The sequence below is a fragment of the Homo sapiens genome, chromosome 2 (genome assembly GCF_000001405.40).
Source record: "Homo sapiens chromosome 2, GRCh38.p14 Primary Assembly".
NCBI lineage: Eukaryota > Metazoa > Chordata > Mammalia > Primates > Hominidae > Homo > Homo sapiens.
The window spans coordinates 48,137,806-48,165,745 of NC_000002.12; the positions used below are offsets into that span (position 1 = coordinate 48,137,806).

General features: G+C 37.6%; 1 long non-coding RNA gene across 2 annotated transcripts in view, besides 1 other annotated feature; it reads right to left on the reverse strand.

The window, feature by feature from the left end:
• Positions 1 to 27,605, reverse strand: part of LOC105374593 (uncharacterized) — a 56,709-nt gene extending 29,104 nt beyond the window's left edge. Inside the window, exons 1-3 of one of the 2 annotated variants that reach the window (XR_001739455.2) lie at positions 27,256 to 27,605; positions 27,083 to 27,129; positions 26,865 to 26,997 (exon numbers count right to left, since the gene is read on the reverse strand). This is a non-coding gene — a long non-coding RNA (uncharacterized LOC105374593). Of the gene's footprint in view, positions 1 to 26,864; positions 26,998 to 27,082; positions 27,130 to 27,255 lie in introns of those variants that run through there. The other variant, XR_001739456.2, reaches the window with a different exon arrangement.
• Positions 18,475 to 18,974: an enhancer, noted in NCBI's record as "H3K4me1 hESC enhancer chr2:48383419-48383918 (GRCh37/hg19 assembly coordinates)". NCBI's record gives its function as "activates a minimal SCP1, AML or CMV promoter by ChIP-STARR-seq in naive H9 embryonic stem cells {active_cell/tissue: H9 hESC(naive)}" and the evidence as "EXISTENCE:reporter gene assay evidence [ECO:0000049][PMID:30033119]".
• Positions 27,606 to 27,940: the final 335 nt, after the last annotated feature.

Below are 27,940 nucleotides of genomic sequence, written 5' to 3' on the forward strand. Positions count from 1 at the left end.
ATAGAGAAGATGCAATTATAAAAGAAGAAGAAGAAAAAACTTTCCTGAACCAAAAACGTTTTCAGATTAAAAAGGCTCATGAAGTACCAGGCAGATGGCACCTCTGGACCCAAGCAGGGATTGGAGCAACCAGGGACTGGCTGAACTTGCCACCCTGAAGGGAAGGACATAGGCCTGGATGGCTTTGCCACCTGCTGATTGTAGAGTCCCAGGGCCTTGAGCAAACACAGGCTGTGGCCAGGGAGTAGATACAGCAGGTCTTGGGCAAGACCTAGTGCTGTGCTGGCTTCAGGTCTGACCTAGAGCAGTCATAGTGGTGGTGGCCACAGGGGTGTTTGCATCACTCCACCTCCAGCTTCAGGTAGCTTAGAACAGAGAGAGAGAGAGAGAAGGAAAGAGAGGGGGGGTGGAGAGAGGAAGAGAGAGAGAGGGAGAGAGGAAGAGAGAGAGAGAAAGAGAGAGTGAGAGAGACTTTGGGAAAAAGTAAGGGGAAGAGAGCAATTATCGGCCTGGTAATTCTCCCACATCTTGTCCAAGACCATCAAGGTTGTACCTCTAAGAGTCTGCAAGAATCACAGTGTAACTAGGCTTGGTGTACCCCCTAAAGCAGATACAGCTTAGATCACAACACCCAAGTCCTTTCAAACATCTGGAAAGCTTTCCCAAGAAGGACAGGTACAAATAAGCCCAGACTGTGAAGACTAACTCTTCAATGCCCAGACACAGACAAACATCTACAAGTATGAAGACAACCCAGGGAAAACATTACGTTACCAAATGAACTAAATAAGGAAACAGGGACCAATCATGGAGAAACAGAGATATGTGACCTTTCAGACAGATAATTCAAAATAGCTGTTTTGAGGAAACTCAAATTCAAGATAACACAGAGAAGGAATTCAGAATTCTATCAGATAAATTTAACAGATTGAAATAATTAAAAAGAATCAAGGAGAAATTCTGAGGTTGAAAAATGCAATTGGCACACTGAAGAATGCATCAGAGTCCTTTAATAGCAGAATCGATCAAGCAGGAGAAAGAATTAGTGAGCCTATATCATAAGGGCATTAATACCATTCATGAGGGCTCCACCCTCATGACCTCCCCAGAGGAGGAACCAGTCCCTGGTTCCCTAATACTGTCCCTCCTCCTGTCACCTTTGGGGAAAGACAAATATTAGACCATAGCAGGCAGTCATTGAGTGCACATTCTTTCAGTCAAACCAACACCAGTACCCTAGTGTAGCTGTCCACCTGCAGCCTCTGTGGTGCGGTCAGCTCAACACTCACTCTGGAAGCCAGCCATCCTGAGGGTGCACAGAACTTCTCACTCCCTTCCATACCACACAGAAGTTGAGAGAGGCACTGTTTCTAACTCATGCTGTTTCTCTGCCTACCTTCACCATGGAACAATACTTACACTTGTGGCAGTCCAACTCTTCCCTGCATGATGAGGAGGAGGCCAAACTTTGTGACAGATACCTCCAAGAGTTCCAGATGGAGAGACAGATGCAGGATCACTGATTCCAGTTTTCCTGATATCCTGCTACTCCCATACCCTATCAGCAGTACCAGTATCAGCCTCAAAACCACTCTGTCCTAGATTTCAGCCTGAAGAAAAGTTGTTAGAATACACATCTTATCCTCCTTCTAAAACACAAGATGAGACAAGACAGAAAAAAAAAATTCTCCTAGCCAAGACTTCACAATTGAGTTCTATCTACCCACGGCCAACTGCAAAGGCAGCATGAAAATCCCCTGGACCTGGCTTTGGATATGCTATTGAAGCATAAGGAATTCGGAAAATCCTTTTCTCTTTGGTCAAAACCTCATACGTAAAGAATATTGTATTAACTTAGATTCAAAAAAATACCATTTTGGTGATGAAAAGCTGAGCATAAACTATCATTTTTTCTTTTTATCCCTATTTTAACTATCCAAATACCTACCTAAGGCAATGGATTACTCTGGGGAGTGGAAGAAGAGCACACATATGGAAATGTAAAAGAGAAAAGCACGTTCATTTAAAGTATTTACGCCATAAGTGCTATCCCTGTTTACATATGTTTCTAAAAACAAACACACATTTACTTTAAATTGCTTATGGAATATCCATAAAAAATGGCTCAAATAAAATTTTAATAAATTCCAGAACTTAAATGTTTTACAGGCCACATCTCTGCCCCAAGTTCAATTAAGCGAGAAATCAACTGAAGAATATAGAAACATAACATAAACAAAAACACAACCACTTTATTTTAAATTTTTGTTTAAATTTTATTTTATTTCAATAGTTTTTGGAAAACAGGTGGTTTTTGGTTACACGGATAAGTTCTTCAGTGGTGATTTCTGAGATTTGGGTGCACCCATCACTTGAGCAGCGTACACTGTACTCAATGTGTAGTCCTTTTATCTCTCACCTCCCTCCCACTCTTTCTGTCATTTCCCCACAGTCCATTATATCATTCTTACGCGTTTGTGTCCTCATAGCTTAGCTCCCACTTAGAAGTGAGAACACACGATATTTGGTTTTCCATTCCTGAGTTACTTCACTTAGAGTGATGGTCTCCAACTCCATCCAGGTTGCAGTAAATGCCATTATTTTGTTCCTTTTTATGGCCGAGTAGTATTCCATGGTGTATATATATATATATATATATACATATATATATCACATGTTCTTTAGTCTGTTCGTTGGTTGATGGACATTTAGACTGGTTCCATATTTTTGCAACTGTGAATTGTTCTGCTATAAACACGTGTATGCGAGAGTCTTATGACTTCTTTTTCTCTGGGTAGATACCCAGTAGTGGGATTGCTGGATCAAATGGTAGTTCTATTTTTAGTTCCTTAAGAAGTCTCCATACTGTTTTCCATAGTGTTTGTACTAGTTTACATTCCCATAAGCTGTGTAAAAAAGTGTTCCCTTTTTATCACATCCATGCCAACATCCTTTTTATTAATTATTAATTAATTAATTATTAATTAATAAAAATTAATTAATTTATTTATTAATTTATTAAAATGTGGCCATTCTTGCCATAATTTAAAATCATAAATAAGGTGGTAGCTCATTATGGTTTTAATTTGTATTTCCCTGATAATGAGTGATGTTGAACATTTTTTCATGTGTTTATTGGCCATTTGTATATCTTATTTTGAATTATCTTTTCATATCATTTGGCCACTTTTTATGGGATTCTTTGTTTTTCTTGCTGATTTATTTGAGTTCCTTGTAGATTCTGGATATTAGTCCTTTGTCAGATGCATAATTTGTGAATATTTTCTCCCACTCTGAGGGTTGTCTGTTTATTCTACTGATTATTTATTTTGCTGTGCAGAAGCTTTTTAGTTTAATTAGGTCCTATCTATTTATTTTTGCTTTTGTTGCATTTGCTTTTGGGTTATTGGTCATGAACTCCCGGCCTAGGCCAATGTCTAGAAGAGTTTTTCTGATGTGATTTTCTAGACTTTTTATGGCTTCAGATCTTAAAATCTTTGATCATCTTGAGTTTGATTTTTGTATAAGGTGAGAGATGAGGATCCAGTTTCATTCTTCTACATGTTGCTAGCCAATTATCCCAGCACCATTTGTTGAATAGTGTCCTTTCCCCACTTTGTTTTTGTTTGCTTCATTGAAGATCAGTTGGCTATAAATATTTGGCTTTATTTCCGGGTTTACTATTCTGTTCCACTGGTCTACATGCCTATTTTTGTATCAATACCATGCTATTTTGGGAATTACAGCCTGGTAATATAGTTTGAAGTCAAATTGTGTGATGTCTCCAGATTTGTTCTTTTTGCTTAGCCTTGCTTTGGCTATCTGGGCTCTTTTTGGGTATAAATTTTACCACTGTTTTTCCTAGTACTGTGAAGAACGATGATGGCATTTTGATGGGAATTGCATTAAATCTGTAGATTGCTTTTGGTGGTATGGTCATTTTCGCAATATTGATTCTACCCATCCATGAGCATGGGATGTTTTTCCATTTGTTTGTGTCAACTATGATTTCTTTTAGCAGTGTTTTGTAGTTTTCCCTGTAGAGGTCTTTCACCTCCTTGGTTAGGTATATCCCTAAGTGTTTTATGTTTTTGCAGCTATTGTAAAAGGGATTGAGTTATTGATTTGATTCTCAGCTTTGATCTCAGTCATTGTTGGTGTATAGCAGTGCTACTGATTTGTGTATCCTGAAACTTTACTGAATTAATTTATCAGATCTAGGAGCTTTTTGGATGAGTCTTTAGGGTTTTCTAGGTATACAATCATATCATTGGTGAACAACAACTGTTTAACTTCCTCTTTACCAATTTGGATGCCCTTTATTTTTTTCTCATCTGATTGTTGTGGCTAGGACTTCCAGTACTATGTTGAATAGAAGTGGTGAAAGTGGACATCTTTGTCTTGTTCCAGTTAGCAGGGGGAATGCTTTCAACTTTTCCCTGTTCAGTATAATGTTGGCTGTGGATTTGTAATAGATGGCTTTTATTACCTTGAGATATGTCCCTTCTATGCTGGTTTTGCTGAGGGTTTTAATCACAAAGGGATATTGGACTTTGTCAAATGCTTTTTCTGCATCTATTGAGATGATCATATGATTTTTTGTTTTTAATTCTGTTTATATGATGCATCATATTTATTGACTTGTGCATGTTAAACCATTTCTGCATTCCTGGTATGAAACCCACTTGATTGTGGTATATTATCTTTTTGATATGCTGTTGGATTCAGTTAGCTAGTATTTTGTTGAAGATTTTTGCATCTATGTTCATTGGGGGTATTGGTCTGTAGATTCCCTTTTTTGTTATGTCCTTTCCTGGTTTTGGTATTAGGGTGATACTGGCTTTATAGAATGATTAAGGGAGGATTCCCTCTTTCTCTATCTTTTGGAATGGTTTCAGTAAAATTGATATCAATTCTTTGAATTTCTGATAGAATTCAGCTGTGAATCCATCTGGTCCTAGACTTTTTTTTTGGTGGCAATTTTTAAATTCCTGTTTCAATCTTGCTACTTGTTATTGGTCTATTTAGAGTTTCTATTTTTTTCTGATATAATCTAGGAGGGTTATATATTTCCACCAATTTATCCATCTCCTCTAGATTTTCTAGTTTGTGCATGTAAAGGTGTTCATAGTAGGCTTCAATGATCTTTTTTATTTCTGTGATATTGGTTGTAATATCTCCTGTTTCATTTCTAATTGAGTTTATTTGGACCTTCTCCCTTCTTTTCAAAATTTTACAAAATCTGACAATTTTTTTTTTAGGAGGCTAAAAATATGACTCCAATCCCTTCTGGCTTGTAAGGTTACTGCTGAGAAATCTGCTGTTAATCTGATAGATTTTCCTTTATAGGTTACCTGATGCTTTTGTCTCACAGCTGATTCTTTCCTTTGTCTTGACTTAAGATAACCTGATGACTATGTGCCTAGGTGATGATCTTCTTGTGATGAATTTCCCAAGTGTTCTTTGAGCTTCTTTTATTTGCATGTCTAGATCTATAGCAAGGCCAGGGAAGTTTTCCTCAATTATTCCATCAAATAAGTTTTCCAAACTTTTAGATTTCTCTTCTTCCTCAGAAACACCAATTATTCATAGGTTTGGCCATTTAACATAATTCCAGGGCCAAACACAGTGGCTCACACCTGTAATCCCAGCACTTTGGGAGTCCAAGGCAGGAGGATCGCTTGAGGCCAGGAGTTTGAGACCAGCCTGGCCAACATGGTAAAACCCCATCTCTACTATAAATACAAAAATTAGCTGGACGTGGTGGTGCACATCTGTAATCCCAGCTACTTGGAAGGCTCATGCATGAGAATTGCTTGAACCTGAGAGGCCGAGTTGCAGTGAGCCAAAATCATGCCACTGCACTCCAGCCTGGGTGATAAAGCAAGACTCTATCTCAAAAACAAACAACATCAACAACAAAACCACCGGGGGAGGGTGGCTCATGCCTGTAATCCCAGCACTTTGGGAGGCCAAGGCGGGTGGATTACCTGAGGTCAGGAGTTCAAAACCAGCCTGACCAACATGGTGAAACCCCATCTCTACTAAAAATACAAAAGTTATCTGGGTGTCATGGCACCCGCCTGTAATCCCAGCTACTAGGGAGACTAGGCAGAAGAATTGCTTGAACCCAGGAGGTGGAGGTTGCAGTGAGCTGAGATCGCACCATTGCACTCCAGCTTGGGCACCAAGAGCGAAACTCTGTCTCAAAAAAAACAAAAAAACAAAACAAAACAAAAACAAAAAACAAAAAACTGCATAATTCCAAATTTCTCAGAGGCCTTGCTCATTTATTTAAATTACTTTGTCTTTGTCTGATTGAGTTAATTCAAAAGCCCTGTCTTTGAGCTCTGACGTTCTTTCCACTACCTGTCTAATCTATTGTTGAAACTTCCCAGTGCATCTTGTGTTTCTCTACGTGTGCCTTTCATTTCCAGAAGTTGTGATTGTTTTTTCTTTATGATATCTATTTTCCTGGAGAATTTTTCATCCATATCTTGTATTTTTTAAAAATTTCTTTAAGTTGGTTCTCACCTTTCTCTGGTATCTCCTTGAGTAGCTTAATAATCAACCTTGTGAATTCTTTATCTGGCAATTCAGAAATTTCTTCTTGATTTGGATCCATTGCTGGGGTCCAAATCAGCAATGTGATCGTTTGGTGGGTGTTATAGAAACCTTTTGTCATGTTACCTGAATTGCTTTTCTGGTTCCTTTTCATTTGGGTAGACTATATCAGTGGAAAGTTCTGGAACTCAAGGCCTGCTGTTCAGATTCTTTTGTCCCACAGGGTTTTTCCTCCATTGGGTGCTCTCCCCATTCCCCTAGGGGTAGGACTTCCTGAGTAATCCCTGTAGCGATTCTTTTTACTCTTCTGGGTCTAGGCACCCAGCAGGACTACCAGGCTCTGGGCTGGTGCTGGGGAATGTCTGCAAAGAGTCCTGTGATGTGAGCTGTCTTCAGGTCTCCCAGCTGTGGATGCCAGCACCTGCTCTGGTGGAGGTGGCAGGGGAGTGAAGTAGACTCTGTGAGAGTCCTTGGTTGAAGACAGGTTTAGTGTGCTGACTTTCTCAAATGCTGGTGATGCTAGCAGTGAAGTTGTCACGTGCACAGACTCAGGACCTCTGGTTAGCCAGGATGTGGCAGTCAGTGGAATAAGCTGTTGTTTTCTTCTTCCTGAGAGCAGGGTTATTCTGTCATGAGTATTTGTAATGGCCTGAGTTGGTTGGCTTCCAGCCAGGTTTTAGAGAGCACCAGCCACAGTAGTAGTGGGGTGGGGGGGTAGTAGTCTCAGCTTATCCTAAGTTGGCCACGGCAAGTATTCTCTCATAACCACTTTAAAATTAAAGAATGCTTCCCAAAATATCCCCTGAATCAACGAGGAAATAAAACCAGAGGTCACAATTTATTTAGACATTAACAAAAGGAGAGCAATTTATAGCAAAACTTTTGGGAAATGGCTAAAGTTGCATTCAAAGGAAAACTCATAACTTTACACACCTATCTTATTTTATGAAAAAAAGAATGAAAACAAGAGACTAGATTTCTATCTCCAATAGCATGGTTGTCTAGGTATTTACTAGACCCACAAATAGTCCTGAAAACAAAAGAGAAGAAAATAAGTGAAAGACAGAATAAAATACAATTTAAAATTTATTCTAAGAAGTATTCAATGATGCTAAAATAGTGAAGAATTACTAGGCCAAATATGAAAGTGAAAGAAGGGACTCAAAGACTATTAAAATCACATCTCTCCCAAGAACATTTGCCTAACTTGGCAAACTTAAGCTTAAGTTGGTTTTCACAGCTTGCTGAAGTTGGAGACAGAAGATGAAGCGTAAAGGACTCTAAAACTGGTAAATCAATGGGAGAATCAGCCCATTACATTGGGGATTCCTCGCTGTAGGGCTATGGCCTCACTGTAGGGAGAAAAAAATAAACACACCATCCCAACACATATGCAAACACACAGAGAGGACTTTAGGGAATGTTGCATGGCACAGAAGAAGTGGAGAGAAAATATCATCACTGATAATTGATAAACAAAAGCCAGCCCTTTTGGTAATCCCAAAAGCTTTAAACCACGAGTTCTAGACTAGAAGTGACTTGGGAGTTTGGAATTAGCTTCCAAGCTCACTTGTGTGCATAATGGCAGCGTTCCATTTTTGGCAGCCTTAGCACTGTGGGTCTCATTTTGCTCACTGTCCACTGGAAGCTGCCCTCAGTTCCTTGCTACACGGGCCTTTCCACAGGGCAGCTCACAACATGGCTGCTTCCTTCTTCAAAGCCAGCAAGAGAGTCTGTCAAGTCCGCTAGCAAAAGGGAGACAACAACCTTGTGTAATGTAATCACAGAAAGGAATTTCATCAGCTTTGCAGTGTTCTAAAGCGGCAAGCCACAAGTCCCACCCACACTCAATGAGAGTAGATAACATAAAGGGGCCCAATCTTTCTCTTTAGTACCCAGTGAAGGCTCATGGAAAAGAGCCTGTGAGTGAGTGCAAGCTCCTACTATGCCTGGGGCCCCCAGCTATTCCAGACTAACATCCCAGACCCACCTGGCCCTTAGTTGATTTCTCCTTACCTATTACCTGCGCTCCCTCCCATGCTCTGCCACCAGTGAACCAGTACACTTGTCCTTTCTCTCCTTGGAAAGGCCCATTCATTTCTGGAATTCAGACTGACCAGTTTTCTGATGGGTTTAAAAAAGTTATAATTTTGTAGTGTATCTAGCTTTTTCCTTTTTTAAATTTTCCTTTCTTTTTTTTTTTTTTTTTTTTTTGAGACAGGGTCTTGCTCTGTCCCCTAAGCTGGAGTGCAGTGGTACAATAATGGCTTACTGCAGCCTTCAACTCCCAGGCTCAAGCTATCCGCTTGCCTCAGCCTTGCTTCCTGAGTAGCTGGGACCACAGGTGCCAGACACGACGCCCAGCTAATTTTTTGTATGTTTTGTAGACATGGGGTTTCACTATGTTGCCCAACCTGGTCTGAGACTCCTGACCTCAAGCGATCCACCCATCTCGGCCTCCCCAAGTGTTGGGATTACAGGGGTGAGCTACTGCGCTGACTGTATCTGTTTTTTTCTTCTGGTTAGAGTGAAAGTAACACTCTTTACAGCTTTCTACATCCTAGACAGAAGTAGAAATAACTGAGATTAGACAGTATTTTGAACTAAACAATAATGAAAATACTCCAGATCAAAATCTGTGGAGGGAAGCTAAAGACAGATGTTAGAGAGAAATCTACAGCCTTAGAATGCATATATTAAAGAATATTAAAGAAGAAGAAAGGTCAAAAATTAATGACTGAATCTTCTAATTTAAGAAATCCCCAAAAGAGTAGCAGGATAAGCCCAAGTAATGGAAATGGCCGGGCACGGTGGCTCATACCTGTCATCCCAGCACTTTGGGAGGCCGAGGCGAGTGGATCACTTGAGGTCAGGAGTTCAACACCAGCCTGGCCAACATGGTGAAACCCCGTATCCACTGAAAATAAAAAAAAATTAGCCAGGCATGGTGGTGGGCACCTGTAATCCCAGCTACTATGGAGGCTGAGACATGAGAATCACTTGAACCCAGGAAGCAGAGGTTGCAGTGAGCCGAGATTATGCCATTGCACTCCAGCGTGGGCAGCAGAGCAAGACTCCATCCCCCTGCCCCCCCAAAAAAAGAGAAGAAAAGAAAAGGAAATAAGATAGAATTTAAAGTAACAGTAAGTAATATCCTACAGAACTGATAAAGCCATAAATTGCTTCTTAGGAAAAAAATAATCAAATTGACAATGCTTTGGCACAACTGGCCAAGAAGAGGAAGCATTACAAATGAAGAAAGGGATACAGTTCCAGATATAACAGATATTTAAAAGATATTAAAAGAGTTTTAGAATTAACCTTATTTAAATAAATTTGAAAATCTACATTAAGTAAACAAATTTCTAAAATAGAAACATATAAAATTTGTTAAAATTGTTTCAAGAATAATCAGAATATACAAATAGCCCTACAATCATAAGAGTTATTCTATCAGTAGTTAAAAATATTCTCATAAAGAAAACTCTAGGCCCAGGCAGTTCTACTGGCAAGTTCTATCAAATATTTGAAGAACACATTTGTTCAGTGTTACACAAATTATTCTAGAGCTTACCCAAAGAGGGAACATTCCAGAGCTAATTTTGTGAGGCTTGTATAAACTGTATGCCAAAATCTGACAAGGTAAGTATGAGAATAGAAATTACAGATCAATTCCACTAATGGGCTTTGATTCAGAATTCTAAACAAAATTTTAGGAAATTGAATCAAGCAATGTATTAAAAAGACCAAAGAAAAACAAAATCACACAAAGAAAAACAGACTGCTAATTTTTCTTAGTAAGGTTAAATTTCCATTACTAATAGAAAAAAAGCCATTAGAAACTTAAGATCCTATGAATATTTTGGGAAGAATTTAATTTGACCCCAGTGTAAATGGAATTGGATCAATACATGTGATCTTTAAACAGTGTTATTACACCAAAGTAGGTATATTTTAAATCAACATTAATTATAGAATTTGAAAAAAACAAAATTTATACCAAAAATTTAGTATGTTTTTGGGCATACGATTTTAGACACTAAAAAGGGAAGAAACATTTTATTTGTGCAAAATCAACATAAAGTAATAGGTATTTTTCTCTCTTTAAAAGAAAGAAGTGAAAATGAAAGTACAATATTTTATATGGAATTGTATGGATTTTCTTAAGAGTTGTTAAATGAACAAATACAGTTCTTTTAATTTGTTTTTGTTATTCTTTGTGAGCATGTTGTTTTATTATAAGTGCATTTCATAGTTTTAATCATAAATAAATGTCTGTGAAATGATTTCTTAAAAAGGTAATGCATCATGAGCAAGTTGGTTTATCCCAGCAAAGAAAGATTGGCTTAAACAGTGAAAAATCAATTAGTGTAATTCACCATGATAACACATTAAAGGAGAAAAATTATGTGATTATCTAAAAAGATGCAGGAAAATAACTTGATAAAATTAAATATCCATTTATGGATTTTTTAAAAGCCTCTCAAACAAAATAGGAATAGAAAGTCATTTTCTTAATTTGACTCTTCTGTTTATTGCTGTAGAACAAATCAAGCCAAAATGTAGTGGCTTATCACTATAATAATTATTTATTATCTTCTGTACCTTCTATGGCTCAAGAATTTGGGTGTGGTTCAGCTGAGTGGTTCTGGCTCTGGTTATCATGATGTTGCAGTCAGTCGGTGGCTGAGGCTGGGTTCATTGCTAAGTCTTCTTCACTCACATGTTTGGTTCCTGGGCTGGAAAGACTCAGACATCAGGGTGCTGGAACAGCTGGGGCACTTCAGGCATCCCTATCTGTATGAGATCTCTCCATATGGTCTGTTTGTTTTTATTATAACTACTGTTGTGTTAACAAATCACCCAAAAACTTACTGGCTTGAAACAACAATTATTTCTTTTTTCTCATGAATTCTGTAGGTCAAGAAATTCAGAAACACCTCATTTGGGTGGCTGTAGCTTGGGGTTTCATAATGTTGCCATCACAGTGATGGATGGGATCATCTCGAGGCTTCTTATATGTTTGGTGCCTGAGCTGGGAAGGCCTGAACATCTGGAACCTAGAACGACTGGGGTTATTTGGGCACACTCATCTCTATCTGGTTTCTTTACATGGTCTCTCCAGCATTGTGACTTCAAGGTATCTGGGCTTCCCATGGTAGTATAGGGCTTCAGTGGCACATGTCCCAAAAAAGAGAATTAGGAAGTTGTATCAGTTTTTATGATGTAGGCTCAGAAGTAATAGAACTTCACATTTATTGTACACTGTTAGCCAATTCAGGTACAAATGCCCATCCAGGTTTGAAGGGTAGGGTATATAGAATTCACCTCTTCATGGAGAAGTGGCAACATTCTGGAAGAGCCTGTGGGACTGGAAATATTCTTGCAGCCATGTTTGAAAAATATTATCTCCCGCAGTGATAAAGAGTGTCCAAAAGAAATCCCTCCAACAAACATGCTGCTTAACTTTGAGACACTGAAAGCATTCTCTTCAAGATTGATAATTAAATGAAGATGCTCATTAATACTACTTTTACTGAGCATTGTACTGGAAATCCTAGTCAGTGGAGTGAGAAGAATAAGAAATACAAAATATAAAAGTTAAAAGGGAAGAAAAAAACTGAAATCTGCACAGTATTATTGCCTTGTAGAGAATCCAAATGAAATTCTAATAAGTTATTAGAATTAAGAGGATTTAGCAAAGTTACTGAATATATCAATATACAAAAATCAATTACATGTCTATGCATCAGCAATTAGAGTAAAAAATTTTACTTAACCTGGGAAAAGATAAAGGTAAGAGATGGAATAAAAACCCTATCTATTAGCAAAGAAATAGATAGCACCTGGAAAACTATATATAACTAAATATCATTGGTAGATGGGCCAAATACATGAAACTGAATAGAGAAAAAAAATTCAAGCATTCATGGAAATTTAGTGTATGATAAAGATGGCATTCCACATTAAAAAGCAGATGTACTTTTCAATAAGTAATGTTGGTTTGAATGGCTTAATATTGTATACAATGTAAAGTTAAACCAATGACTCATTCTTTACACCAAAAGAAAATCCAGAAGATCTAATACATAAATTAAAAATTAATAAATAAAAGCACTAATAAAAACAAAATTAAAATATATTATTTACAGAAGCATCAAAAGTGTAACACTTAGGAATAAATCTAAGACAAGATATGAAGACCTCTACTCAGGAAACTATAAAACATTACTGAAAAAATTAAAGATGATTGAAATAGCCAAGTTTATGAGCTGGTAGATTCAAGATGTCAATTCTTTCTGAATTGATCTATAGATGTAATGTAAATCAATTCAAGATCCCAACAAGTTTTTGCAGAAATCAATAAATATGTATGGAAGGGCAAAGATCCAAGAATAATCAAGACACTTTTGAACAAAGTAGGTAGACTTGATTTACCAGCTGTCAAGACTTACTATAAAATTATAATAATAAGATAATGTGGTTTTTGAACAGGACAAAAGAAATGGGTGAGAATAGAAAGCACAGAAACAGACACATATATGTGTGAAAACTTAATTTTTGAACAAAGCTTGAATTATGATCTCTGAAGAAAGAATAGACTTCAGGGGTATTATGCAAAAAAATGAAATTAGGGAATTTGTAAATGATATTTTCTTCCTTTCCTTTTAGAGGCTTATACACTCCTACCCATTGCCATATAATTTGCAGTGCCTGTCTGTCGGAGGAGTATATGCTTCTGTTCCACTGAGTCTGGCTTAAACTGGTATGTACCACATGTGAACAGATTATTTAAGAGTCATTGTGTAGTAGGATGTTGCTCTTTCTTTCTGTCACAAGGATGGCATGTCCCAAAAAAGGGCCATTCTTTCAGTCTGGGTCCCAGGATGAGAAGACATGGGGGTCCTGGAATGAGAATACACTTAGGGTGGAGCTGAAGCTGCCAAATTGCAGTTGTTGACACTGATATGAATAAAAAATAACATATGCTGGTGCAAGCTACAAAGATTTGGAAGGCAGAGTTGTTTGTTACTACAGCAAAGCTGACTAATAAAGACATCTACTTCACACTTTATACAAAAATAAATTCCAGGTGAATTAAACATGCAATTATGAGAGCAAAAATAAAAATTTTACAAAGTGGTATAGAGAATGTGTCTTCATGAAACTGGAAGAAATTTTAAAAATAAGATATCTTGATTTTGTTTATTTGTAGTCTTCTTGTTTTCAGGTTTTCAATAATATGTCATTGTTACCATTTTATGCAGTGAATGCTTATTTTTTTACCTGCATATTTATTACTTTCATTGCTTTTCATTCTTCTTGTACCCCACGCTTGCCATATGAGATCACCTTCCTTCTACCTGAAATATATCCTTTAGAACTTCATTTTCTAAGATCCTTCTTATGGTAAATTCTTTCACTGTTTGTTTATCTGAAAATATATGTTTTTCTCCATAATTGTTAAAAGACTTTTTTCCTGAGCATAGAATTCTAGGTTAATTATTTTTCCTATGCATTGAAGATATTTCATTCTCTTCTGACTTTCAGTGTTGCTGATGAAAACTATACTGTCAGCTCCACTATCACTCCTTTGAAGGTAACCTGTCTTTTCTGGATACTTTTATTAATTTATTTTTGCTTCTGGTGTACTTCAGTTTCACTGTGTTGTATCTAGTTATACATTTCTTTGTATTTATTATGCTTGGGATTCATTAATATTGTTGAATCTGTGTGCTGGTTTCTTTGATCAGTTCTGAAAAATTCTTAGGCATTACCTCTTCAGTATTGCTTTTCTGTGTTCTCTGTTCCAGAGAGTGTTTTTATTTCGTCTGCTTGTGTATATTAGTTTGGGTTGTTCAGAGAAACAGAACCAAAATCATATGTAGATATAGATATAGATAGATTTCTTTATACATGTGATTGTAGAGGCTTGGCAAGTTTACAATCTGCAAGGTAGGCTTACAGTTTGGAGACCTAGGAAAGAGTTGCAGTTCATTTCAAAGGCAGTCTTTTGGCAGAATTTCTTCTTGCTTTGGGAGGTTGGTTTTTTTTTTTCCCCCTTATTCATGCCTTCTACTGATTAGATAAGGCCCACCTATATTATGGAGGGAAATCCCTTTTATTCAAAGTGTACTGATTTAAATGTTAATATAATCTAAGAAATACCTTTACAGAAACATCTAGAATAGGCCGGGCATGGTGGCTCACGCCTGTAATCCCAGCACTTTGAGAGGCCGAGGCGGGTGAATCACGAGGTCAGGAGATCGAGACCATCCTGGCTAACATGGTGAAACCCCATCTCTACTAAAAATACAAAAAATTAGCTGGGCATGGTGGCAGGCGCCTGTAGTCCCAGCTACTTGGGAGGCTGAGGCAGGAGAATTGCTTGAAGCCAGGAGGCAGAGGTTGCAATGAGCTGAGATCATACCACTGCACTCCAGCCTGGGTGAAAGAGCAAGACTCTGTCTCAAAAAAAAAAAAAAAAAAAAAGAAACATCTAGAATAATGTTTGACCAAATATATGGATACCATGGCCTAACCAAGTTGTTAAATACAATGTACCATCATTTTGTGAAACTCTGGGTGCAATTTCAACCTCACTTTGTCTTAATCCATGTCCTTTTCTCTTTTTTATAATTTCCATATCTTTGTTTCTTTATGCAAAATTTTAGACAACTTTTATAATTTATTTATGTCAGTAATTCTCTTTGTATCTAATCAGTTGTCAAATCCATCATTGATTTATAGTTTTAGCTGCTAAGTTTTCCTTCTACAGGTTTTACTTGGTTCTTTTTCTTACATAGTCAGTCATTCTTTTTTTTTTTTTTCTTTAACACGGAATCTTGCTCTGTCACCCAGGCTGGAGTGCAATGGCGCCATCTCGGCTCACTGCAACCTCCGCTCCCAGGTTCAAGTGATTCTCCTGCCTCAGCCTCCCGAGTAGCTGGGATTAAAGGCGCGTGCCACCACGCCCAGCTAATTTTTATATTTTTAGTAGAGGCGGGGTTTCACCATGTTGGCCAGGCTGGTCTCAAACTCCTGACCTCAGGTGATCCGCCCACCTCGGCCTCCCAAAGTGCTGGGATTATAAGCGTGAGCCACTGTGCCCGGCCAGTCATTCTTTATACTATTGTTCTTTACTTATTTTTTCTTTCTTTAAGTTCATATTCTGTTTCTGATAATTCCTGTATCTGAAGTCTTTGATGATCTGGTTATGTTAACTCTAGCTTTTGCTGGCTTTTAATCATGGCATCTTGTTTTCTTTCATATTTTGTGATTTTGTTTACATATTATTTTCTATTGAATTTTATCTATGGGAGTTTTTTGAGGCCTGTAATGAAGGTAGATTTCCTTCTGCCAGGTGTCTGAGGGTGCATTTTGTCCAAGAACACTTTAAACTAAATTATTGTTAGCTTGACCATCTAGATAATGTGAATTCAGACTATAAGCCTACTTGTTTTGTTTGAAATTCTCAGCTAAGATTTCGTTTTTCTTTTCTACTCTGTAGTAAGGTTTGAGGTGGATCATTCTCTCTGCAGTTTCCTAATGGAAGAGGAGGAAAGAATAGGTTTATTGCTAGTTCACTCTTACACTAGGTCCCAGTGTCGTTAGGTCGCATAATAGATGACCCCTACCCATTCACCTAGTTTTTGGACTGAGTATTCTCTATTTTCTTGCTAGGTATAGTATTCCATTTTCTTGCTACTTTCTAATGCATTTAAAGAGATGATCTTAAATTTTGCCATGTTTTATTTTCACCTGAGAGTTGGCCAGGTTACTTAGTTTGCCATACTGCTGGAAATGGACACCTTTTCTGTACATACATTAACATTAGTAATTGAACTGCAGCTTTTTTTTTTTTTTTTTACTTTCAGGTAAATCATTATTAGATTTCCAGGTATTTCCTGCTTTTGACTTGGGAGATAGTCTGTCTTTTACATCACTTCTTCAGAATTCCATTCTAATATGTGTTTTGCTTATAGGGTTAACTCTCAAGGAGTGACTTAATTTCCAAGTCCCCTCATGTTCTGACTGAAAGGCTTAGGGCACACAGCGGCAGGAGTTACAGATGACTTATATCAACTCTGCTGTCCTTGGCATCTTTGTAAATCTTTTTGTTACTTGAACAATACAGATTATTTAAACTGAGAAATAATGGCTTTTAAAATATGCAGAATGGAACAAAAAATTATGTGTAGATAGTTAATTGTAAAAGAGAAAACATGGGTCCTTGATATCTGTTAGGATACCTAAAGTCATGAATTGGTTGTGAACAACCAGATTTCTAAAAACCACCACAGGATATCAACCTATTCTACCTTACATAATTACTGAAATAGTATTAACTGTAAACATGATCTGAAACTGCAAAATCCAGTCTATGCTGATAACATACTAATTGCTGTTGCACAACAGTTCTCTGCATAGGGGACCATGACAAGTTCTAGATCGGTGGGGTCCTCCTGGCCTTCTGGGTGATTATCCAGCATCAGACTTGGAAGAAGTATGGGAAGGGGATTGTTTTGGGAGATACAATATTACAGCAGAAAGCAAAAGACCCTCCTCAAAAGGCATTCTTATGTTTTAAGTGCTTCCTTAAAGAACAACATGACTGGCCAGACCCTCACCTCCCACTAGTCCTTGCTTTGTGTCCTAGCTGCCTCCAATACTTTGAATAACTTTGGGGAAGGGGTTAATATTGCTAAGCCACCATTTCATTGACTGTAAACAGAGGATACTGCTGCCCTCATAGGATTAGCATGTGATTAATTAAATGAGGGGCTTTCAAGATGGCTGACTAGAAGCATGCTGCACTCACCACCTTCACAAGGAAGGACCAAACCAATGAGTCGATAATCATACTTCAAATAGAGTGTCTAAGAGAGAATACTGGAATTCATCAGGGAAGTTGCAGGGAACTTCTGAGGCAAGGAAGGAGAGGGAAGAAAAGCAGCCAGCCTAGCCAGGATTGGCTCAGAGCTAGGAGGAATTCTCCAAGGCAGGTAAAAGGAAAGCGAGAAAGCCCCAGTGGGCCACACTCCCACCATGGATTCCTGCAGTCCTAGCTATAGGAGAGCCCATTGGCCCTTGTGGGCCCTGAGACTGGAGTCCACAAGACAGCGCTGTTCCAGAAAGGGAGCTCATGCTGGGTCCCATATACTCCAGAGATGCAAGCAGCTGCAGCATGGTGCCATTTTGAGAGCCCAACCCCCACCAGACTGTATCCTGCCCTGGGGCCTAACAGCCCTGCATCTGTACATCCCTGAAGTCCTGCTGACATCTCCCCACATCTACTCACAGGACTGCAGCATTGCAATGCTGAATGGATCCAGAAGTGTAGCTGGGTCCCCGGCACTCTAGCCCATGCAATGTCTCACACCCTGGGGAATGGATGGTGCAGTGCACCAGGGAGCTGCTCCTGGGACAAAGGGATCCAAAGTGTGCCCACACCAGAACCTGAAAGTCACCTTCCCAGGGCCACTACAACTGAAAAAAACCTGACTCCCTCTAGCAACAGGGATATCATGCACCTGCATGCACCTTCAGGAAGCCTGATGACTGGCGTGCCCATGCACCATCCCAGGGCCTGAGGAAAGGCCCACCCTGTCCACTACCACCATTGCCAGAACTTGAGTGCATTGTGCAGGGGCCTGGGAATCAACACACCCTGCCTGCTGCTGGTGCCTGCACACACCAAGGAGACTGAGGACAGGTCCACCCCTCGCACTGCTGCTCCCACCACCACCAACCATGCATGTCATCCAGGGGCCTGTAAATTGATCCACCATGTCTGCCACTGCTGGCATGCACACACATGGTTCAGGGGCCTGATCCACTTCAACTGCCGCTGCCACCCATGCATGTTGTCTGGGGGTTGGGGATCAGCCTGCCTTGCCCACTGCTACTGACACCCATGCATATCATACAGGGGCCTAAGGATGAGCCCACCCAGCCCACCACCAGCATTCATGTGCTGTACCAGAGGCCCAGTAGCCAGCCTGCCCAACTTGCCATCACTGTCACCAGTACCTACCTGTTTGTGCCACTTGGGGACCTGGGCATCAGCCCACCCAGCCAGTCACTGCCATCACTGGTGCCCATGCATGCTGCTTACGGGATTGAGAGTTGGCTCACCACTGCTACTGCTACCACCAGCACCACAAATGCCACCGAAAGACCCAACAACCCAGCCACTTGCCCTGCTACTGCTGCCACCAACATACACCACTTGGCGCAACCCGAAGGCCCAAGGACCAACCTGCCTGGATCCACCTCCAGTGATGCCAGCATATGCCACTTGAGGACCTGAAGCCTGGTATGCCCAACCCACCACCACCACTGATGCCTAAGGACTGGCTCTCCTGGCATTCCCATCCCCAGAAAAGCCTTACCACAGCCTCTACTAACAACTGGCAGCCTGAGCCATTGAGGAATTCACAGATGCCACTGATGCTGATTACAGCCAAAGAAATCATATGGAAACTACACTACTGCACCCACCCAAAACCAAAGCAAAAGGACCTTGTTTTCTGTAGTAAATGTATCTACAGAAAAAGCACTTCCCTAAGAAAGCCAGCCCATAAAATTGAAAATAGTGACTATTAAACCAGATGAGCAGATATCAATGTAAGAACACAAGAAACATGAAAAGAATGCAAACATGACACATCCAAAGGAACAAACAATTCTCTAGTAACTGATCCCAAGGAAAAGACAATCTTTCACATGCCTGAAAAAGAATTTAAAATGATAATATTGAAGAAACTCAGTGAGTACAGATAAATACTACAAAGAAATTAAAAAAAAACAATTCATGATCTAAATGAGAAATTTAATGAAGAGATAGATGTTATAAAAAAAGAACCAAACAGAAATTGTGGAACTGAAGAATTTAATGAATGATATAAAAATATAATTAAGAGCTTCAACAATAAACTAGATCAAGTTTATTAAGAATTCAGAAATTTAAGTTCAGGAAGAACTTAGAAACAATCCAGTCAAACAAACAACAACAACAACAGAAACAAAGAAAGAAAGGAAGGAAGGAAGAAAAAAAAAAGAATTTTAAAAATGAAGAAAGCCTAATGACATATAAAGCAATACTATAAAGTGACCAAATATTCAAATTTTGGGATTTTCAGAGGAAGAAGAGATGGGCAAAGGCATAGAAAACCTATTTAACAAAATAATAGATGAAAAGTTCCCAAGCCTTGTAAGAGATATAGAGATCCAGAGAGGAAGCTCAGAGATCTCCCAATAGATTCAACCCAAAAAGATTCTCCAAGGCTCCCTATAGTTAAAACGTCAAAGTCAAAGACAAAGAGAGAATTCTATAAACCGTGAGAGAAAATCATCATGTCACATATAAGGAAATCCCCATTACAGTCACAGAGAATTTCTCAGCAGAAACCTTCCAGGCCAGGACAGAATAGAGTGATATATTCAAAGTGCTAAAAAAAAAAAAAAAAAAAAAAAAAAAAAGAAAACAAAAAACCTGTTAGCCAAGAATATTATATCCGGCAAAGCTATTCTTCAAATATGAAGGACAAATAAAGTCTTTCCCAGGCAAGCACAAATGGAGGGAATTCATCACCACTAGACTGGCTCTACAATAAATGCTTAGAGTCATACATCTGGAAGCAAAAGGATGATATCTGCCATCCTAAAAACACACAAAAGTATAAAACTCACTGGCACAACAGACTCACAAAAGAGAAAGAAAAAGGACTCAAACATGATTGCTACAAAAAACCACCAAATTGTAAAGGTAAATAATAAAAGAGGAAAAAAGGAACAAAAAACATACCAAAAAATCAGAAAACAATTAAAATACCAGGAGTAAGTCCTCACCTATCAATAACAGCCTTGACTGTAAATGGTTTAAAATTCCCAATTAAAATATACAGACTACTGAACTGATAACAAAACAAGACCCAACTATAGCTGCCTACAAGTAACTCACTTCATCTGTAAAGACACACATAGATTGATCATGAAGGGATGGAAAAAAAAATTCCATGCAAACAGAAACCAAAAGCATGCAGGAGTAGCTATACTTATGTCAGATAAAATAGACTTAAATCTAAAAACATAAAAAGAGACAAAGAAGGTGATTATATAATGATAAAGATATTAATTCAGCAAGAGGATGCAACAATTCTAAACATATATATAAAGCCAATATTATTAGAGCTAAAGAGCAAGATGGACCCAAATACAATAATAGTTGGGGAGTTCTGTACCCCATTTTCAGCATTAGACAGATCATCTAGACAGAAAATCAACAAAGAAACATTGAATTTAATCTGCACTGTGGACCAAATAGATCTTATAGACATTTATGGAACATTTTATCCAATAGCTATAGAATAAATGTTCCCCTCATCAGCCCATGAAACATTCTTTAGTGTAGACCATTTGTTAGACTACAAGTCTTAACAAATTTTTAAAAATCAAAATTATATAAAGTATCTTCTCAGATCACAATTTCTAAAACTAGAAATCCATAACAAGGAGAACTTTGAAACTGTATAAATACATACAAATTAAGTAACATGCTCCTGAAACACCACTGGGTCAATAAAGAAATTAAGAAGGAAATTTAAACATTCCATGAAAATATAAAAATAGAAACACAACACACCAAAATCTATAAGATACGGCAAAAACAGTGCTGAAAGGGAAGTTTACAGTAACAAATGCCTATATCAAAAAAGTGGAAAGATTTCAAATAAACAACCTAATGATGCACCTTAAGAAACTTGAATAGTAAAAACAGACCAAACACAAAATTAGTAGAAGGAAAGAAATAATAAAGACCAGAGCAAAACTAAATAAAATAGAGCCTAAAAATACAAAGAATCAATGCAATGAAGAGTTAGTTTTTGGAAAAGATAAATAAAATTGGTAAACTGCTAGCGAGACTAACCAAGAAAAAAGAAAGAATATCCAAATAAAAAAAATCAGAAGTGAATAAGAAGAAATCACAATTGATTCCACAGAAATACAAATGATCTTTTAAAAGTAATATGAAAAACTCTGCACTAACAAATTGGAAGACCTAGAGGAAATGGATAAATTCCTGGACACATACAACCTATCAAGAATGAGCGAAGAAGAAATAGAAAACTTGAACAGACCAATAATGAGTAACAAAGTTGAATCAATAATAAGTCTCCCAACAAAGAAAAACCCAGGACCAGATGGCTTTACTGCTGAATTCTACAAAAGTTATAAAGAAGAACTAACACTGATTCTTCTCAAATTACTCCAAAAAATTGAACAGGAGAAAATTCTCCCCAACCCATTTTCTAAGGCTAGCATTATTCCAATATGAAAACCAGACATGGACACAGCAAAAGAAAGAAAACTACAGGCCAGTATCTCTAATGAACACAGATGCAAAAATCACCAACAAAATGCTAGGAAATGAATCCAACAACACATCAAAAAGATAGTGCACCACGATTAAGTGGGATTTATCCCAAGGATGCAAGGATGTTTCAACATATGCAAATCAATAAACATGATACATTACACTAATAAAATGAAGGACAAAAACCATATGGTCATCTCAATAGATGCAGAAAAGCATTTGATTAAATTCAACATCCCTTCATTATAAAAACTCTCAACAAATCATGCATAGAATCAACATACTTCAACATAATAAAGATTATATACGACCAACCCACAGCTACCATCATACTGAATGGGGAAAATCTGAAAGCCTTTCCTCTAAGAACTGAAACTAGGTAAGAATGCCCACGTTTACCACTCCTATTTGACATAGTACTGGAAATTCTAGTCAGAGCAATCAAGCAAGAAAAATAAATAAAAAACATTCAAGTTGGAAAAGAAGAAGTCAAATTGGCCCTCTTTGCAAATGACATAATCTCATATAGAGAAAAACCTAAAGACTCCACCAAAAAACTCTTAGAACTGATAAATGAATTCAGTAAAGTTGCAGGATACAAAATTAACATACAAAATCAGTAGACTTTCTATATACCAATAATGAACTAACTGAAAAAAGAAATCAAGAAAGCAATCCCATTTATAACAGCTAAAAAGATTACCTAGGAATAAATTTAACTAAGGTGGCAAAAAACTTTACAATGAAAATTAAAAAATATTGATGAAAGAAATTGAAGAGAACACAAACAAATTGAAAAACATCCCTTGCTCATGGACTGGAAGAATTAATATTGTTAAAATGACCATACTACCTGAAGCAATCTACAGACTCAATGCAATCCCTATCAAAATACCAATGACATTCTTCACAGAAATAGAAAAAACAATCCTAAAATTCATATGGAGCCACAAAACACCCTGAATAGCAAAAACAATACTAAGCAAAAAGAATAAAGCTGGAGGTATCACACTATCTGACTTCAAAATATACTACAAAGTTGTAACAATCAAAATAGCATGGCATTGGTATGAAAATGAAACAGAGAACCCAAAAATAAATCCACATATTTACAGCCAACTGACTTTTGACAAAGGTGCCAAGAGTATACAATGGGAAAGGACATCCTTTTTAAATGGTGCTAGGAAAACTGGATATTCATATGCAGAAAAATCAAATAGACCTGTATCTCTCACCGTATACAAAAATCAACTCAAAAATGGATTAAAGACTTATTAAATCTTATTAAATCATAAGATTCAAAACTCAACTGCTACTAGAAATAAACATAGGAGAAACGTGTTAGGACATTGGTCTAGGTAAGTCATTTATGGCTAAGACTTCAAAAGCATAGGCAACGGAAACAAAAATAGACAAATGGGACCATGTTAAACTAAAAAACTTCTGCACAGTAAAGGAAACAACCAACAGAGTGAAGAGACAATCTATAGAATGGGAGAAAATATTTATAAACTATTTCTCCAACAAGTGACTAACATTCAGAATATATAAGGAGGTCAAACAACTCAATAGCAAAAACACAAATAATCCCATTAAAAAGTGGGCATGGTGGCTCATGCCTGTGATCTCAACAATTTTGGTGGCCAAGGCAGGAGGACTGCTTGAGGCCAGGAGTTTGAGACCAACCTGGACAATACAGGGAGACCCCATCTCTACAAAAAATTTTTTTAAATTAGCCAGGCATGGTGGTATATGTCTGCTTTCCCTGATACTTGTGAGGCTGAGGCAGGAGGATTATTTGAGCCCAGGAAATTGAGACTGCAGTGAGCTATGATTGCACCACTGCACTCCAGCCTGGGTTACAAAGTGAGACCCTGTCTCTAAAAACAACTAAATAAGTGATCCAATGATTTGAACAGACTTTTCTCAAAACTAGACATACAAATGGCCAACAGGTATATGAAAAAACATGTTCTACATCACGAGTCATCAGTGACATGAAAATCAAAACCACAATGAGATATCATCTCACATCTGTCAGAAAGGCTATCATCAAAAACGAGAAAAAATGAAAAATGCTGGCAAAGATGCAGAAAAAGGGAACTCTTATATCTTGTTTGTGGTAATGTAAGTTAGTACTGCCACTAAAGAAAACAGTATGGTTTCTCAAAAAAGCAAAAATAGAACTACCATATGATCCAGCAATCCCACTACTGGGTATTTATTCAAAGGAAAGAAAATTAGTATATCCAAGGGATACCTGCACCCCCATGTTTACAGCAGCACTATTTACAATATTAGTTATGGTATCAGCCTACATGTCCATCAGTAGATGAATGGATAAAGAAAATGTGGTATATATACACAATGAAATACTATGCAGCCGTAAAAATAACAAAATCCTGTCATCTGCAGCAAGAGAGATGGAACCGGAGGTCATTGTGTTAGGTGAAATAAGCCAGGCACAGAAAGACAAATATTACATGTTCTCACCCATATGTGGCAGCTAAAAATGCTGATTTCATAAAGGTAGAGAGTAGAATGATGGTTACCAGAGTCTGAGAAGAGAAGGAGGTGAAGAAATCTTGATTAATGGGTACAACTGTACAATTAGATGTGTTCTAAGTTAAATAAGAAGTTCTTGTTTTCGACAGCACAGTAGCGTGAATAGACAAAAAGTTATTGTGTATTTCAACATAGCCAGAAGAAAAGATTTAAAATGTTCCCCACACAAAAAAATGATAAATGTCTGAGTGATGGATATTCTAATTACCCTGATTTGATCATAACACATTGTATGCATGTATCAAAATATTGCACTTACTCCCTATATATGTGTAATTGTTAAGTATTAACTAAAAAAAAAAAAAAACAAACAAAACCCATGACTGACAACTGTCTTTTGTCTCCTTTGCAAGTTTATCCATTTCCTAGCATAAAGATAACACTAAATGTATTTCTCAAACAAAGTAATTATCTTTGAATTACTTTGGCAGACTAAAAAGTAGACAGAGTACTTGTGAATTTAACACTTTTTTATATGCTAGGGCATGTTTACTGTATGGATTTCTTCAGCTTGTGATGAAGGTTAACTGAAGCCACCTCTGTCTTACCATTATATTTTGCAGATTATTAAACCAACTTTTACTTTTGGTACTTCAATGCAGCAGTAGAAGTTATATTGCCTATTGCTTCATAGGCATTTTGTACAGCCCTTCTTCTAAGTCCCACTTCTGAGAAAAGAGATTATTTCCAGTTCATTTCCTCAACTACCAGTTAAAGGCTTTTTGTATATTTCTGAAGTTTTATTTCTCACTTGAAAAGTAGTTGTGCCCTAGCCTCCAAAATTACTAAAACAGTTTCATAAATCTCTTTCTTCTTTCTTTTTGTTTCTTCAGAGCATATATGGGAAACTTATTACAACATCAGCCTCAAACAAGGGAGAATTTGACAATGGGCTCTATCCCAGAGTTATTGTCTGGCTAAGAACAATCACTTTCTTAGATTTTTCACCTTTTCTTCAAAAACATTAGGACTGGATGTTGTCTTTCTTTGCAGGACCCTTTGTAAAACAAAAGAGAATTTGTATACCTCTGCATTTGTATACGACAAATGCAACTGATGGAGAATATCAAGATTACATTGAGGTGAGGCTGCAAGGCAGTGGGCTAGGCATACCTTCTGGATTTCTATAGTGACTGGATACCCAAAATTATGACAATTTATTCAAATTTGTGCTCTCACAAAATGATAAGGTTTTACCTTACATGAAACTTCAAGATCACCCAAAGATAGTTGAGGCAGAAAACATTAAGTCTGTAAATGCCAATGATCAGGTATCGCAAAACGTATGAATTTTACTTGAAATTCTATGAGCCTTTGAATAACTGGATTTTAGAGTTAGCATTTTACATAACTCAGTATATTTCCTTTCCATCTGTTAAAGTCTATAGAGAACAGATTTTTTATTTGCTCTAAGAAAGAAATTGGAGGCTTAGTTCATTGAAAGTTATCTGACATCAAATATCAAGACCAACCATGAGAATTGTTTATTTGATGCTCAGACCTTTGCATTCATTGGCTTTTCCTCTCCTCAGAGCATTAATTTTGAGTACAAAAGAATCCATCAAATATCTCTGATGCCAGACTTCATGACTGCTTTTCAAACAAGTTTTCCATATTCTTTCCTTCTTATAAATAGCCCTCTTCATTGATGAAGTCTGTTTCCTTCCAGAGACCAGAGAAAGAGGAGGAGTTTGATATGAATTGTGAAATCACCATATATTGTGACTTCTTTGAGAGAATTTCAGTTATACAGAGTTGTATATGTATTGTGTGTGTACGTGTGTGTGTGTGTGTGTGTGTGTGTATAGTAAATAGACTAGGTCATCCAGGTCTTTTGTTTTTCCTTGTATCTTCTTTGAGACAAATACTTCTAACTACTTCACTACTGGAAATGAGTCAAGGGAAAATAAACAGCAGAATTATTCTACTTTCTATTCATCAGGTTTGCTAAAAGGAAAAGGCCTTGCCCAATAGCATGAATTATAGATTCTAGGATATTACAGTGACTCTGGGATATCAGTGGAGATTCCTGTGTACAAAGGAAAATTCGGTTCCACCTTCAAAACTTTATCCTTGTGTTTTACCCTTCAAACAACACACAAATGAAAATTAATCATGATTCAACATTCCACAAACACCCACGAAATTTACCAAAGGTGCTTCTACTATTTCAAGAAAAACAGAGTCGCCTTTGAAAAAAAGTTACAGATTTTGTTTTTTAAAATATATGTTTTATGGTTATTCTAAGGATAATTTAAAGCTGTGGTATTATTTTAAATGCTACATTCCTGAGAACAAAAGCAGTAATAACACTGTACTAATTTAGGCAATAGCAAATAACCCCCTAATCTTTACCAAAAAAAGTTTATTTTCTGCTTTTACTGCATGTCCACTCCAGGTAGGTGGGAAGGTGGGGGGTTGTGTTTCACATTTTTCTCACTCAGGAACCTAGTCTGATGGAGACCCCACCATCTGGATATTGTTAGTCACTGTGGTGGAGGAAAAGGAGATAAATAATTATGCACCAGCTCTTAAGTGCTTCTGTGCAGAAGAGACATATATAACTTTACTCACATTTTATTAACCAAAGTCACATGGACATTCTTCATGATGAGCTGAGCCTGAAAGTAGAAGAGAACTGGGTATTAGTGAACAGTAGTAATACCTACTATAACTATTTGCATTTTTTGTAGGCTTTTCTACTTTTTGAAGCATTGACACATCCAAAGAAGAAAGCAATTGCCTACCAAAATGTTCATGCTCCATTCTCCACCCATAGGACCAGCTTCAGGGTGTGTGATCTTTGTTCAGAAGGGCCCCACAATTGGGGTTTAATGTTTGCTGTTGCTGTTTTAAAATTCTTAATCATCTTATCTTTGAACTCATGTTCTGTAAATGAAGTCCAATGGTGCATGCGCATGAACAGTGGAGATACACACAATATGCATCTCCTCTGCTGTTCCTTAACATGCCATTTTCATATAGCATTCATATCTCATGATCACAGAATTCTAGTGGACCCTTAATGTGTGGGAGCTCACAGCGAGTACAAGGTAAGTTTTGTCTTCCACTGAGTCTACCACTGAATAAGCAGTGGTGCTGACAGCTCCAAGGGGTTCCAGCACTTGCCTTCAACTTAGAAAGAAGGAAATGGTTGCCAAAGAAACACCAATGACCAAGGAATGTTATCATATCCCTTCTAACTCTTGTTGCTTTCCTGAATTAGCTAACTGCGTATGCTGAAAATGATGACATAGAAAGAAAAGGAAAGATAAGGCAACCAATAGTTCCTTTTTCTTTCAGTCTTTTCTTAATTATCATCAGTAAGTTGAAGGAAGAGAGTGTTGGTGGAATGTGTTCATATCAAGATATGAAGTAAAGACACTTGACTTAGTTTTGTGCAGACTCCACTGTTCTGGTTAAGAATAAAAT